This window comes from Homo sapiens, chromosome 4, assembly GCF_000001405.40.
Source record: "Homo sapiens chromosome 4, GRCh38.p14 Primary Assembly".
In the NCBI taxonomy this organism is placed as follows: domain Eukaryota; kingdom Metazoa; phylum Chordata; class Mammalia; order Primates; family Hominidae; genus Homo; species Homo sapiens.
The window spans coordinates 33,008,777-33,026,188 of NC_000004.12; the positions used below are offsets into that span (position 1 = coordinate 33,008,777).

Here is a 17,412-nt window from a genome sequence, read left to right on the forward strand (position 1 = left end):
ATCTTAAGGAAATATCAGACAAATCTGAACTGAGAGAGAGTCTATAAAATAACTGATTTGTATTCTTCAACAAATGTCAATGTCAGGAAAGTCAAAGTCAAAGAAAGGCTGAGAAGCTGTCCGAGATTAAAGAAGACTAGAGAGATATGTAAACTTTATTCATTATGGGATTTGGGCCTGGATCCAATACTGAAAAATAATCCCCATACAGAACATTATTGGCATCATGGAGTAAACTGGAATGAGGACTGAAGATTAGAATAAAGTATTATATTACTGTTAAACTTTTTGTATGTATAATTTTTTTTTTTTTGAAATGGAGTCTCACTCTGTCACCCAGCCTGGGGTGCAGTGGCGCAATCTCCACTCACTGCAACCTCTGCCTCCCAGGTTCAGACGATTCTTCTGCCTCAGCCTCCTGAGTAGCTAGGATTACAGGCATGCACCACCACACCCAGCTAATTTTTCCTTTGTATTTTTTTCTTTTTTCTTTTTACTCTTGAAATACAGAATTTTATTTAGAAACTGTTTAAAGTAGAAAAAAACCCTGTCAAGAAAGACCAGGTGGAAAATGGGTTCCCAAAAAATGTAATTTTAGGGCAACGAAAGTCTAAAAGGCCACAAAAGAGAAATAGCACCACTGTCATTTGAACAATGGCTAGTTACTTGCATTTTTTGGCATTGTTAATCTCTGAATCTGGGTTTTCCTCTGAATTCCACACAGAGCATGCACTACACAACAATTTTATCAGAAAATGCTTTCTTTCTACACACATTTTAAGACAAGCTACCACCAGAAACAAATCAATATAAATACATCAGGGGCTGAACAATCTCAATAGTGGGTGAGACACATTTTGCAGAATCCTGCCAAACAAAGGAACTGAAAAGACTGTGGGCAAAGCAAATGAGGGAAAGTTAAAGAATGAAATATTTTAAATATTAATAATTAATTCAGACATGATACTGTATTTTCTGCAAAAGAAAATTAACATTTAGCAACACACTAATGAACTTTATCTCCAAAGAGATTAGTGCACTGGCAAAGTATGCAGATTACAGTGGAGAGCTGTGGACAGCACATACCGAAAACACCCCAGTCTTGCAGATCCCAAGGTAACAATGGCCTTCATTGACCACTCCCTTTGCCAGAGGTCCAGAAAACTTGCAGCATGGTCACCTGCATGCTTCACTTCCATCTCTAAGCAGCAAACTTCAAGGAGCCAAAGAGGAGTCCCCAGTGGGAAAGGGGAGCAGAGAAGAGAAAGATGGTAAATGCAAACCTAAAAGACAGTAAAATGGGATACAATCCCCATTCAAATCCCAGAGATGTGGGCAAGTTCCCAAAAGTAGTTTTTAGACCAAAAAAACTGGACACACCTCACTTCCCCAAAAATATAATACATAGAAATTTTGGGGATAACTGGAAAAATAGAGAAATGCTCAGTGAAAACCAAGCTCTTCACCTCGAACATCTCAGGGCTGAAACACATCCTCTATTATCCAGTCAACAATGCCTCTTGCTTTTTAGCAGGGATGCAATTGGTCAATGGCACCAAATGGCTTTACAGGGCAACTTTTTAAATGTTCCTTTTAGACCAAAGCCTAGGCCTATGAGGATTCAAGCAGCCCTCTAAGACTTGTGACAGCAAGTTCCAAAGGTTCCAAGGTCTGGTCCTTCCTTCCCAGATACAACATCAAACGCAAAATCCTCTGTCATGTTACATTTTGTATTTTGAAATATGGAAGCATATTTTAAATACTCATAAGGCATTTATTTATTACAACATTCTCCGATTTCACATTAGCTTAAAATTCAATTCAGTCTTTCCATTTCTCCACTAAGGTCGCCGCCTCAGCATATTACACAACACCTTCTCCAGCACTCAGTGTGACCCGCATCCACAGGGTAAGCCCCAACGTCAGCCTCTTTGTTTCCCAGGTGAACCAACTAGATGTTAATACTGCTCTGCTACAATGTAAACGCTCCTAATTCAAACTTATTTGAAAAGGAGTGAAACGTCTGCAAAGTGCACTTTAAGAAGAGGTACTTTTTGCTTATGAAAAGAAACCAGTGAGTCCTCTAAGGATAATAAAAGGGAGTATTTTACAGTTAAGCACATGATTTGGAGTGAAGAATTTGGATGTTGCTCTGCTGGTCCAGGCTGTTAATACTCTTTTTGTTCCTCCTGTGTGCCGCCTTCATCAGGTATCACAAAGCCTTCATCTGTGGCATACAGAATGTCTACAGTCCTCTGCAATACAGGGTTGTTTTCCCCCTCATTCTCCTGGCAAATCAATTCAATGTTCCGTAGCTTTCCGAAGTAGAAATCCTTCTTTCTCCAAGTTTTCAACAGTAAATTTCAATACGTTGACCTGCCGCATCAACTCAGCTGCCTCGTCATTCCCATTGCCCACACCAGGGTTCTTTCACACCACGCCAGGGCCAGTCTTAGGAGCCACAGCAGTTCTCTGTGTTGAGATGGGCATCTGGGGAGTTGCATTGCTAGAACTTGGGTTTATTCGGAGCTGGAGCAAGGAGGGAGTGAGCCACTGCAATTTCTTGACCTTGTCTGGCAGCCACAGGGTCATAGATTTTTCCATCATAGTTTGCATCAAAAAACTTCTTGAACCACTGAACAAATTCAAAATTGTCCTGAAACTTTCCTTTTACTGATTTGTCGACAGGAATTATTTTGTCAACACCCAGCTTCTTAAAACCTGCTTGTAGTATTTTGAAGTTCTGGATGCACTCATGTTCTAGCTTAGCCTGGAATTTTACTTTCTTCAAGTCAATGGAGCCAGGGAACAGCATGTCCATAAACTGACAATATCCAGTTTATGGATATTGAGAACAACTGTTTGATCTTTGTCAGATTCAACTGCAGAGACTCATTGATCCAGGCCAGCACGTCATGATGACTTAGGTTATCACTGGTCACTGACGTTAAGTATACATTCACTGCCATCTTCGGCTCTCGCGTCCGCTGCCCTCACCCGGCTCCAGTTTCTTCATCTCATTCAAACTGCCAGACGCCGCCCTTTTTGTATTTTTAGTAGAGATGGGTTTTCACCATGTTGGTCAGGCTGATCTTGAACTCCTGACCTCATGACCCGCCCACTTAGGCCTCCCAAAGTGCTGGGATTACAGGCATGAGCCACCGTGCCTGCCCTTTATAATTTTCTTGTAGCTATTTTTTAAAATCTTCTTACTCTTAGCTAACGATAATTAAATATTTAAAGGTTAAAATGTAATAATTCCTGAAAACTAGCCTCATACATTAAAGAAAGAAATGTATATTATACACATGCTGAACATACATACACACATATGCATACAATATATACATATGAGAGAGAGAGAAATATCATAAAGGAAATAAGCTAGTAATTTTTAAAACTGTACAAAGGAGATTTTATTTTTGCAACCTGTACAAAGTTTGAAATTGTTCCAAAATAAAAATGTAAACTAATTACTAACTGGTTTCAGTTGTGTTAAAACTAAATTTTCATTCCTTTAATATTTTATTTCATATGAGGGACTTTGAGAGTAAAGAAATGGTGAAAATATTAGAGATAAAGGTTAATTATTGGTGTCAGAAAGAAGAGAGAGGAGCCAGGTTCTGGATATAAAAATGAGTGGAAATTTCCAGTAAACAACAACAACAAAAAGTTATGAGCACGGGAGGAGGAGGGAGATGGAAAGGAAAGGCCATAATAAAGAATTTTGTCCTGGAGCACAAAGGATTAGAAAAGGGATTCAGGATTTATTGAGGCCGTTTAAAAAGTGAGTTTTCGCCGGGCGCGGTGGCTCACGCATGTAATCCCAGCACTTTGGGAGGCCGAGGCGGGCAGATCACGAGGTCAGGAGATCGAGACCATCCTGGCTAACACGGTGAAACCCCGTCTCTACTAAAAATACAAAAACAAAATTAGCCGGGCATGGTGGGGGGCGCCTGCAGTCCCAGCTACTCAGGAAGGTGAGGCAGGAGAATGGCCTGAAGCTGGGAGGCGGAGCTTGCAGTGAGCCGAGATCACACCACTGCACTCCAGCCTGGGTGACAGAGTGAGACTCTGTCTCAAAAAAAAAAAAAAAAAAAAGTGAGTTGTAACAGTTTTCCTCTATATTTTTTGATTCTCTACTACAGTTCAAAATTATTCTAGTGCTGTGAATTTCACCTAATCACATGGAAAACGAAAATTGTATTTTTCTAACTGAATCTTATTACGTACACTCAATTGTCAGTTTCACTTATTTAAAAATTTCAGTTTGGGGTTTCTCAGTCCATTCAAGTTTCTCCCTTTTCACCTGCTCTTTTTCCTTCATTGTGATCCAAACACATGGCAGTGAAACAGGAGGAACTGAGAAGAATCAATAGACAAAATTGGAGGAGGGAACTCTGATACTCTTTTTATTTAAAATGAATTTTGGTTTGAGAAACCCTCTGTTCTCAACTCTTCAGGCTTTATTCCCACAGCACACGCTGCTGTGTCACTGTCTCTCTCACAGTCTCCCAAATATTCATGACATTGACTTTGTTTTCAGAGTGCAAACCAGTTGTTTTAGAGACAACCTATCAGGCCATTGAGGTTTTTATTTCTCTTCATCTGACACAAGGACACTCTAGTGCCACTGGCTTACCCTCAGACTTCCTTGATTATTTTAGAGACATGTGACGTTATGTAATAATCCATTACACCCACAGCATCATTAGTTGCTGTGCAGGGATTAGGGGGCGGTATCTCAGATGCTTTTGGAACAAACACATTTTTTTTCTCTACTGTAACTTATTTATGTACTGGGGAAAGTAGATACCTTCATTTATGATGTTGTGGTCTTTTTTGTTCTTCCCTTTTCTATGTATTCCTTCTAGGGATATGCCTAGATTACTTCCTTTTGGTTGAAAATCTGCTCTTCTGTAATCAGCATATCCCTCCCCCACCCCCAACACACAGTAAACACACACACAAGCACACACACACACACACATGCACACACACACATCCGTTTATTTAAAGTGTAAACTATGCTCTGATCCACCATATTCTTATTCTTTTGGAAAAAAAAAAAGAAACCTTTTTCATTCTCAAAATCTTAGTGCTTGAAAATCTAAAGTCACATGACTTATCAGATATATGTTCCCACTTTTTGAACTTTACAAAATCTGTTAATATATTCAATAACTTTTTTTTTCTTTCTTTTCTTTTTTATGTGTGTTTTTCCTTTCCTGGAAAAAATAAAATCTCTTCACCGATGGCAAGCATTGATCCAGTGAGGACTAGGAAGAAAAGTATCAGAAATGGCAGCTGTAAAATTCTTTTATATTACCAGAGTTTTATCTCACTTCACAATTTAGCATCTAGTTCCTCTTTATGCTATCAATGCATTTGCGCGCTCCTACTTTGTGCCAGAAAATATTCGGGCAAATCTGGGTGGATAAACCATAGTTTCTCTCCTCTTGGTATCCATGGCAAACACAGAGGAAAAATATGTTCATAGTACCTTAAAAGATGAATCTTAAACTAATCAGATTTGTGGAGCACTGTTGGGGTCAGCTTAGGAGGACTTCCAGAGGAATTCTGATGATACTATGGACTTCAACCAAGACTGTGCTGGAGCAGCCACTGCACCCTAAGCAGGGCTTGCTTATTATGGACGTTTCTTATAATCCATAAGATATAAGTCTTCAGAGTTTGTTTCATCAACCTACCTCTGAGCACTACTGTACAGCAGTGATCGAAGCACAGCCACCAGAAAGACAGTCCTGTAGTATAACTGATCTGGCAACATTGAAACAATATTCATCATATCACAGCTCAACTGAGCTGCCACGTGTGCAGAAAATAGAAGATGGCAGGATATCCAACTGCTGCTGTAAAGTGAGTTGAAATGGGGGTAATTACAAGCAGAGAGGGCAGCAGAAACATGTTAAGGATTCACAGAAGCACAGCCTCAAGCAATGTAGCATAACTGAATATATGAGAAGGGGCATGCTGCTGAAGAAATGAAAGAAGAAACTTGCTCTTTAAAAATCTATTTCTGATGACACTGGACACAGTGTTATATAGTTATATAGCTATATGCTGCTCTATTGGTTTCTAATTTTAAATAACAAAAATTAGTATGGATTACAAACCCTGTCAGAAAATATGTGTGCATTTATCTAGCATATTTTAGTTGCAATATAGTCATTTTAACCTATTGTTTCCCTAACTATATTAACAATTTGTTTACATGGCAAATCAAATACATTGTTAATTTCTTTCTTTTTTTTTTTTTTTTTTTTTTTTTTTGAGACGGAGTCTCCCTCTGTCGCCCAGGCTGGAGTGCAGTGGCACGATCTCAGCTGACTGCAAGCTCTGCCTCCCAGGTTCACACCATTCTCCTGCCTCAGCCTCCCAAGTAGCTGGGACTACAGGTGCCCACCACCAAGCCTGGCTAAATTTTTTTGTATTTTTTTAGTAGAGACAGGGTTTCACCGTGTTAGCCAGGATGGTCTCGATCTCCTGACCTCATGATCCGCCCACCTCAGCCTCCCAAAGCACTGGGATTTCAGGCGTAAGCCACCACGCCTGGCCTAACATTCTGTTAATTTCTTAAGAGCTGATGCAAGTTAATTTGGCAGGGCAAGTTGTATATTTATACACGGAGAGACACACACATTATGCACACTTGAGATTGTGAAATATTATTATGGCAAAAATCAGGAAAGAACCCAAGAAATAAAAGAATGAAGTTAAGAGAGTTCTTTTGCTTATATTGTCACGGCATTCCCACAAAGTAATGAACTTACTATTTGAGGGTGGCTCATGAAAATCATTCTCATTATTTCAGTCATGTATATGTATTTATTCAATTTATTCAACAAGTATTTACCCTGTGTGGTATGCATATATCACGCTACTCACACCTGGAGACAAGGGATATAGACAGAGGATATTGACATGAATGATAAGAGCTTTTGCTTTTCCTTCCAGATTTTTAACTCTGGGTAGGTAAAGGGAGTACACTTATTTCCATGCAGGCAGTATTGCTCACTCCATATAGCAAGAAGTACTTAGCTCTCACAGACTAAAATTCTGGCAAACATCCACTGAACCTTAGAGCAACTTCCTGAATCAAAATGACTCTAGATATAGAATCAACAGGACATCATTATAATGAAAGTATCCTTTTCATTTTTTTCCCTGCCTGTAGAAAATTTTGTGACAAAGGTGAGCTAAAAGGTTGGAAATGTAAGAAAATGTAAGGGAATTAAACAGCAAGTAAATAATTTGAAGTGATAATTTAATTTAAAAGGATTATAATGGCACATGGAGGCTCTTCAAGGTCAATTCTTTAGATAGTTCAATTTCAGTGTTTTTTTTTTAGCTGATTCGATTGAGGTCATTTACAATTTTGCAAGTTGGCTTTTTTTATTCTCAAAAGAATTCATGAGGTACAGTTTAATTGAACTACCTGGGAAGACAGTGAATTTGATTATAAGCACACATAGACAACTACTCAGTTTATGTTAGCCAAACGCTATTCACTTCAGTGATGCTTTTATGCACATACCAAGTTCCTTAGTAGCTGTGTAGTCATTGTCTTAGTGGAAACATTTATTAATTCCTACTGAAGAGAAGTATTATTGAAGAAGAGAAGGAAACAAGGGAAGGTGTGGTTTCCTCCTATCTGACTGTAACTCAAGGGACTTTGTTTTCAGGAGCTTTGAATTATCTGCAAAGCATAAAACTTTCATATTCTTTTTAATAAGTTGGATTATTTTCATTTCCTAATAAAACTTATTTCCATCTCAGTACAGGGTGAACTTTTCAGATTCTGCAAAGATCAAAGGTCGAGGCTCTAAATCATTCTTTTTTTGAAAGTCAGTTTCCATGGCTTGTGGGTTTTACTATTCAGTCTACAGTGGACAGGTTTCATTGCTTCATGGTGCTAAAGAAATAGAATTTTTAAGAACCTAAAATGCTAAGGGGACAAAAATCACTGTTTAGAGAACTGAATTGTTATTTCCTTGCTTGCTATTCTTATTAATTACTCATTTACTTATGCACAGAGGAATAATTTTTTTATTTCATCCCACAAATTCATACAGAAAAACTCTGCTTTGGAATGGAATACTTAGAGTAAAAACCATCATTCATATAAACACTTATTCTTGGGTTTCATGTTTATGTCGCTTAAAAGAGATTGCCATCCCTGAGTAAACCAGACAATAAGTCAGAAACTGTCAGCTTTATTAAATTTGGCTAGTATTTTTCTCCCTTGCTGAATTCTTTCTGGTTGAAATCAATCCCATGAGAATGCGGGTTATTCTTAAGGTGATTGAAATGATGAACTTTTGTGCTGGCAAGCTGTTACACTATGATAGTCCATGTCTTAAATGAAAACCAAATTCAGCATTACAATTTTGAAGAAAATATTTCAATATAAGAAAATTATTTGTATAGCTTTTATTGCTGTTTCTATCAATAAGATTTATTCCTTAACACATAATTTAGTATTTTGAAAGTGCAGAAAATTTTCTTAGACTATTAAAAATTTTCATTTAATATTCTTCTTAGAGAATATATACTAGCAAGAGAGTGAATTCTTATTTTTTTCTTACAAGCACATTTTGCAAGTATAAATTTTAACATTCCAATTTCCCCAAATGTTAACAACTTAAGATACTTAATCAGTAAAGTCATGGCAAATGTTGGGTCCCATCAGATCCATCAAACATCATCCTCATTATTTTTGACATCTTCATGATCTGCTAATATTTACTTCATCTGTTAATATTTTCCTCAAAATAATGTCTGCTAAATAGCTTTTCACTTGTATCAGACTTTAATAAATTATATCACTTACTATGTGTCATGTTTAGTTTTCAACCAAATAATCAAATTCATTTTGACCTCTTCCTAAAGTTTTTCACAATCTTTCTAAATTAGTCTTTCTAAATGTAACTAATAAAGGAACATAAAACTGATAAAACTGCACAGTTTGGACAAAATGGGAGAGTTTCTAAGAAAATGTATTCTATCTTCATTTTTATGTGCATTCTTGGAAAAATGTTCATCTTTAATCTAAATGTGTTTAATTTACTTACTCTCATTTTCCCAGTCCAGGTCTTAATTACCCATCACCTTGGACTATGGGAACAATTCCTTAAAGTGCTACTTGCCCCTCACCTCCATCACTCACAAGCCATTCCTACGTACTCGTATGTTGCTACTGCCAGTGATCAATTTTCTCCATGACTCTCTGCCAAAATCAGAGTAGAACTTGAGCCTGGCATTCAAAGTTGACCGTAAACTCTGCAAAACATCTCTTTTTGATCTTACTGGTCTTTTCTAATCTGCACAGCCTACATGCTCAAAGACAAATCATACAATATACCGCTTTGCAAGAACCCCATGACTTTACCAGTAGTATTTTTCTCTACCTGAAAATCACTATTACTCATTTCAATCTGCTAAAATTATAATAATTCCACCAGGCTTTATGTAAATACAGTCTATATGCTGATATTTTCCTCAAGCAGAAATTATCTCTCTCACTTTTGAACTCCAATATTTTGTGTGTGACATGTAAAATTCAGTACCTTCTGTTTTTCATAATGTAAATATGCATTGCAGTTCTCTTTTAAAACTGAAAGTTTTCTAGAGGTAATTATATTCACTTTATTTTTAGTAGCATTTCATTTGTATTTTGTGACTAGCACTTTTGAAATAGTATTTTTTATAATTATTTTGCCTTAATAAATAATTTAATCATATTATCTAGCAAGTATATTATTCAGCAAGAGAAGTAGCTAGTAAATTAATATGAAAAATAATCGTAAATTAAAAATAACTATAATATGAAACTATGTATATTAATACCTAATACATTTTGGACTGTTATTTTGTGTCAGGAAGTGGCTTGCTAGTGATTTATATATAGATAGATAGATATGAATGCCTATATTAAAAGAATGGAATGGGCAGTATCACCCCTATTTTAAAGATAAGGACATAAAGTGACTCTTTTAAGGGGCACAGACATGATATTGAGGAGAGTGGCAGTTTGAACTCAAATCTATTTGATGTCAAAATGGTGCCTTATTTATTATCCAGAAAACAAAATAGCATTGTACAGACTCTTTAAAAACATATTTAATTGGGAAGGATATGTTAAAGCACAGTTAAATAATATTGATAAATAACTGCTTAAGTAAGTGTATGAAAGTACAGAGAATAAAAAGTCAATCAAAACTGACAAGCAAAGGTCTTCATAGAATATATGAGCATTTGGTTGGCCTTGGAAAATAAGATTTAAATATGGACAGGAATGTGATAAGTGAACACATTAAGGAAGACACTTTTAGTGTAATCTATTGCACAAGTGGAGGTGCAGAGTACTAATAATCAAGCATGTCTACATTACAACGACAAGTCTCATTGTAGATAATTTATGATTAGTTCAGCATAAAAATGGAAAAATTGTTTCATATTGAACTAAATAATAAAGATATTGCACCCACATCCATTGTAATTATGATGTAAACATATATACTTCAAATATCTCTGTTTAAAAGTGTTGGTTTTAACCATAGGAAACTTTGATGATAATTATGCTGAAGTCAACTGGATAAATCCTGTGTTAGTCAGCTTGGGCTGCAATTACAAAAGACGGCATGGCTTAAACAGTAGAATTTTTATTTTTGCATAATTCTGGTGTCAGCATGGTTGGTTTCTGGATAAGCCTCTCTCCTTAGCTTATAGATGGCTACCTGCTCATTATGCCTTCATATGGTCTTTTATATGTGCCTGAAAAGAGTGCATTCTGGTCTCTTTCTCTTCTTATAAGAGCACCATTTCCATAGGATTAGGGCCTTCCCCTCATGAATTTTATTTAACCTTAATTACCTCCTTAGTGACCCTATCTTCAGATTGGAGTTTCAGACTTCAACATGAATTTTGGGGGGACACAATTTTGTCTATGCAAGTCTAATCTTCAAATACTTTGCAGAGAGACTAGAACTTTGAAGAATCGACATCTCTGGTGATGTCTGTATATGTATGTTCTCCATGCCTAGGAAGCATGGGAAAAAAATTACATGTGATAAGACTAATAGTTACCTTTCAATGAGTCTACACTTGTTCAACAATGATGTATTAATGTAAGTCTCAAGGAAAATAGTAAGAATATGAAAGTACTAAATTAAGCAGTGATTTACTGTTTAGTGGCAATATTTTTCTTAAAACCGCCATGGCATGTGTATACCTATGTAACAAGCCTGCATGTTCTGCACATGTACCCCAGAACTTAAAGTATAATAAAAAAACTTTCTCTACCTTTTATATACAGAAATCAAGAGTTAAAAGCTAGAATATATCAACAAATGTCAATACATTGGAAGAATATTTGAAAAGTCCATTATTTGCATAAGAATACACAGATTTTTTTTTCCATTTGCACTTTTAAAAATTTTAGAATTACACTGGAAATTCTAATTGCTCTTGGTACTTGTGTAATTAACACTTACAGACACCCTAAAAAGTAAAAGAAAAATAAATAATTTTCAAAAAATTACAAAGTGTGGAAACATCTGTCACCTCATAACTTTAGGCAAAATTGTCATTTTTTTTTCTTTTTCTCCGTATAGCAAGTTATTTACTAAATTTAAAATAAAATTCAGTTTGAAATATATATTTTGGTATTAACGTTTTTATAATTCCATTCATTTAACAACGATAAAACTAAATTGTACTTTAACCAAAAATAAAATTTATTTTGTTTATCTATGCTTTGCAAAATTATTTTATCATAACTAAAATGTTCCTATTTTAAGAAACATAACTTAATGATATTTCCAATGTGAATGAAATTTACAAGAAATCAGGTGTTCTAATTAAGCTGATTAGTTTTCCTTCTGAGTCTAATATGTGATTTAATCTTATTTCACTCAATTGAAACAAAAGATAAAAAGAGTATACCATTGTGAAGACCTTAATTTGATGCTGATTTGTAGTGACATCTTATCAATACATTTTTCTTTCCCTTTCTTTCCTTATTGAGCCATTATTTCTAGTTGTGTTCTTTGTTTCAAGATTGATTATAGTCACCGTTTTAGGGATGCTCCTATGCTGACAAAAACAAGAGTAGAATTATAAAAATGTAAATCCTATCAATCTTGTATTTGTCATAAATTAGGCTGAATCTAAAGGGAATTTCACCTTAGCTTAGCAAATTCTCTGTATATAAAAAGTATATAATATTATTAAGAACACAATGTAAAAGACAATGTTTTAGCTTCATAAGAAAACAAACTACTTGAAATCATGTTGAAGCTCTGGCTTGCACTTTCCACAACACAATTTGTACTATATAGTGTGTAATCTCAAAGAGTGTGTGTGTGTGTGCCATCTTAAAATTATATATAATGTATCTTCACAGAAATGTCATACTTATGTGTTTATATACATATGTATTATAAATATATGTATTAAATTTACATATACATATGACAAAATACAAATTATTCTTTTTATTATTTTTTTCTACAATTTGTTCATTAAATTTAAAACTCTAAACCTAAAAAAGAGAATAGCCATATAAGAAAAGATGAATAAATTGGGCTTTACTAAAGTTAATATCTCTTGTTCATCAAGATATGCCATTAAAATGTCCAATTCACAACTTGGGAAAGAAAAAAAAAACTATGGGTAAAGCCTACAAAGCACTTGTATCTATTTTATAACAAGAACTTCTACAAAATAAGAAAAAGACAATCAAGTTTTAATAAAATGAATTTCTGAATAGGTGCCACACATGAGATGCCTAAATATATTGAATGTATGAAGTATGATCAGCATCATTAGTCACCAGAGAAATGTAAATTAAAAATCTTCATTTAATAAATAATAAAATGGTACCCTACAATTAACAAGACTGGGTAAATTAAACTACTGAAAATACTGATTTTTGGCAAAGACATTGAGCAATTTCAAATCTTATAGTATTTGTGGCAGTACAAATTGATACAGTCATGCTGAAAAATATTTGGCATTATTAAATAAAATTAGTCATGCATGCATGATAAGGCCCAGCAATTCACTCCTGGTATAGCCCAAAAGAAATGAATGCCTAGGTATGCCAGAAACATGTACAAAAATATTCATAATTGTCTCAAATCTGGAACAATTTAATTGCCATCAAATGGATAAAAACTAAACAAACTTATTTATTTATAAAATGAAAACATCATTTAAAAAAACAGAATTTCTGATCAGTACAACAAAATAGGTGAATTATTCCATGCATGTAATGTGTAAAGTCAGACACAAAAAAAGTAGAACGTGCATCGCTTTGTGTTGTTTTAAAATAGATAAAAGTGTTCTATGTATTATAGATGGAGGTCTGAATAGTAGTTCCACTTGGGGAGGAATGTTAATTGGAAGGGATCATGAGGATGCCCTCTGCAATGCTGGAAATACTCTACATCTTGATCTAGGTGGAATTTTTTGTTTTTGTTTTTAGAGACGGGGTCTTGCTTTGTCACCCAGCTGGAGTGTTGTGGCACAATCATGGCTCACTGCATCCTTGATCTGTTGGGCTCAAGTGGTCCTCCCACTTCAGTCTCCTGAGTAGCTGGGACTCCAATCACATGCCACCATGCCTGGATAATGTTTCAGCCACCATGCCTACATAATGTTTTATTTTGTGTTTATTTATTTTTTATTTTTTGTAGAAATGCTGTCTCCCTATGTTGCCCAGGTTGGTCTCAAGCTCCTAACTCCAAGTGATTCTCCTGCCTTGGCCTCCCAAATCAATGGGATTATAGGCATGGGCCACTGTGCCTGGCCTAGGTAGAGTTTTTGGTCTATGAAAACTTTTCATGGTGGTTTTTATGTACACCTCATCTTGGCTGTACATTGAGTTGAACGCTGAAGATTTCTGTGTATGGTTTTATGTAAGTAATGCTTCAATTAAAAAAATAAAGGGGCCGGGCACGGTGGCTCATGCCTGTAATCCCAACACTTAGGGAGGCCAAGGCGGGCAGATCACGAGGTCAGGAGATGGAGACCATCCTGGTGAACACAGTGAAACCCGGTCTCTACTAAAAATACAAAAAAATTAGCCGGGCGTGGTGGCGGGAGTCTGTAGTCCCAGCTACTCGGGAGGCTGAGGGAGGAGAATGGCATGAATCCGGGGGGGGCGGAGCTTGCAGTGAGCGGACATTGCGCACCCGCACTCCAGCCTAGGCGACAGAGGGAGACAACGTCTCAAAAAAAAATAGATATTAGGAATTCCTAAAAGTCTTTCATTAGGAAGAGTATGAGGTAACTAAATATTGAAATTAAAACATAAACATGTGCGTTTACATATGTATGTATATATATGTCTCTCTGTATATATATATGCGCGCACACACACACACACACACATATATGTTCCTTATTCTTTTTTCCTTCATTTATAATTAGTTTTCATCTTTTTTCATTCATAAGATCCTAGGCATTTTACCCACCTTTCTGAGTAATATTATCTATTAAATGTTTATAACAGTTATTTTTTGTTTCTTAAACTCAAAGAACTGTTGTAATCAAATGAAATAATGATAACATTAACAGCTGTTGAGCTGTAACTATATACCAAGTGCTATGCATGTTGGAATCCATGTACAGTCACGTGCTGCCTAACAGTTTTTCACTCAAGGACATACTGTATATATTGTAGTCTCATAAGATTATAATACTGTGTTTTTTTATGTAGCTTTTCTATGTTTAGATATGTTTAGATACATTCATACTTATCATTGTTTTACATTTGCCTACAGTATTTTCAGCACAGTAACATGCTGTACAGGCTTGTAGCCTAATAGTCTATACCATATAGCCTAACTGTACAGCAGGCTATACCATCTAGGTTTGTGTAAGTATACTGTTTACTTACACAAGTGCAAAATCACCTAATGACACATTTCTCAGAGCATTCCTCTTGTCCTGTTAAGCGACACATAACTCTATATAGTTAAGCGACACATAACTCTATAGTCAAGGGAGGCTGAGGCAGGAGAATCACTTGAACCCAGGAGGTGGAGGTTGCAGTGCACTGCACTCCAGCCTGTGCGATAGAGTGAGACTCTGTCTCAGAAAAAAAAAAAAAATCCATAAAAGCAAAGTAACCCACTTCAGATTCATGCATTCATTTAGTTTTCATGTCTCTTTGATTTCCTTCAATTGTAAATAATTTCTCAATCTTCCTTTGACTTTTATGGTCTTGACACTTTTGAATGAGTTATTTTATAGAATGCCCTTCAATTTGGGCTTATCAGATGTTTCTTCATGATTAAATTCAGGTAACGCATTTTTTGAAGAAATATCATGAAAGTTGACATCTATGTATAGGGTGAAATGTATTAAAATATTGACAGTCTTTCTTCCCTCCTACTTTTCTCAAGAATTTGGTTCAGTTTTCTTTCCCCACCTCAGATATTTCCCAAGAGGCCTCTATCCAGTTTTAGAGGACCTTTTGTGCTTTGTGACACGGAAATGGAAGTAAAGAAAAGATTGAGTGGAAAAGCCATGAAGGAAAAGAAAAATAAGGATGTTAAAGAAGATTGACAAGCAATTTTGAAGCATGACCTTCAAAGTATAAGAAAAATCTTCAGGAAAGTAAAGAGAGAATTTAAGTGAACTTTGTTGTGGCCTTTGCATGTCATTAATGTTTGGGAAATGCGAAGGAAGAACTTGATTACATGGAAATTTACTTAATGGTTTCAGAAGTGTCTTCCTTTGCTCATAACACTCGTTTAATATTAAAGCCTATCAGATAATTACTGTACCCCGCCACAAAACTGCATAGAAATTATTAATATTTCCATTTTCCTGACAAGGCAAGTGACTGAATGTTTTAATAATACTTCTAAGGTTATTTGGGCAGTACTAGGCATTTCAACCCAAGCCTATAAATCTCTAAATACCATTTTCTTTGAGTACATAATGGCTTTTGTTTAAATTATTTCATAAATTGCAAAGTGTATACGATACTATTTTCCTCAAGAAAACAATTATAAGAATAAAATTAAATAGGACTTCTTTAACAAGCTAAAATATTTTAAAGATGTACCCTATGATTATTATCATCTAAAATAGTATATGAGATGCTGCTAGCAGAAGGTAATCATGTGTTCTTCATAAATAAAAGGAGTGATGACCCTTTCATTACACTCTTTTTGCCTGTCAAGTCATTGGACAATTATAACAATTTAGATGTCTCTGTCACTGAATTAAGAAAATGTAAAATAAGTTTAATTCTTAAAAAGATAATATACATGTACGCAGTGTTTTAGCTAGAAATAGTTTCAGCTGTGAGTGGCAGAAAACATAAAATAAAAAAGACTTAAAGAGTCGGGATTGTGTGACAACATGCTATTGCAGCAATAATTCTGTGAAACAAACTATCTAGAAATTTAGTGGCTTAAAACAAGAAATTATTAGTTCACAAGCACACATTTGTGCATTGATGAAGGTCAGCAGCTCTTCTGTAGACATTTCTTACAGAAAAAGGGGATCAGTGCACCTTTCCATTCTCCTTGAAAAAGTGAACAAGACAAGTCATGGTGATGACAAATATAAAGCTATCAAGTCTACCCTGCCAAGCACATTTGGGGCCTCAGCCTGAGTCAAGTCTGCCTGATTCACATTAGTCAGAACGTATTAATCAGAACATAGTAACATGGCTTCTACTGGTAGTAAAACAGACTGGAAAATGCAAATGGGGAGATGCTTTGTCTAGTCAAGGAACTGACTAAATATCATTGGTTCTTTTAGTAAGAAAGAATAGGATAACTGGGTATTGGGCGCATTGAGCATTCAATACCACAGGGTCTGATTCAGGTCATCATAGGATCAACAATAAACTTAAAAAATGTATAATGATGGCAAAATCATGCAATGTCAAAGCAAAAATTACTGACGTTGAGATACAATAATTTGTTTTTTTTCCTCATGGGGGAAGGTTATTTTGATATTAGAAGTGAGCACCGTGCAAGTGAAAGTTCTTTGTGTCTCATGTAATACAAAGGGTAATAGGAAGACTGTCCCAAAGAGGTTGGTGGAATATTGATTTACACTCTTAGAAGGGGTGGGTGGCTGTGTGTGCTCACGCATGTGTATAAATGTATGTATGTGCTTATCTAGGCTATAATATTTTCTCAGATGCTCTGTGTATTTTGAATATCTTCCCCATCATTTAATTATTAGAGTTTATAAATCTACTCATAATTGGCAGCACCAATTACCTCCACAGCAATTTGAGAGTTTGACGTGTCTTCAGCGCACAACTCTAGGGTATACCAACCACTTAGTCCTGCTTCACAGCTTGACTTGTTGACTTGTGCAACACTGTAATTCTAAACTAACAGAATCACGTTCTTA

General features: G+C 35.5%; 1 pseudogene; it reads right to left on the bottom strand.

The window, feature by feature from the left end:
• MAPRE1P2 (MAPRE1 pseudogene 2) lies at positions 495 to 3,035 on the bottom strand (annotated as a pseudogene).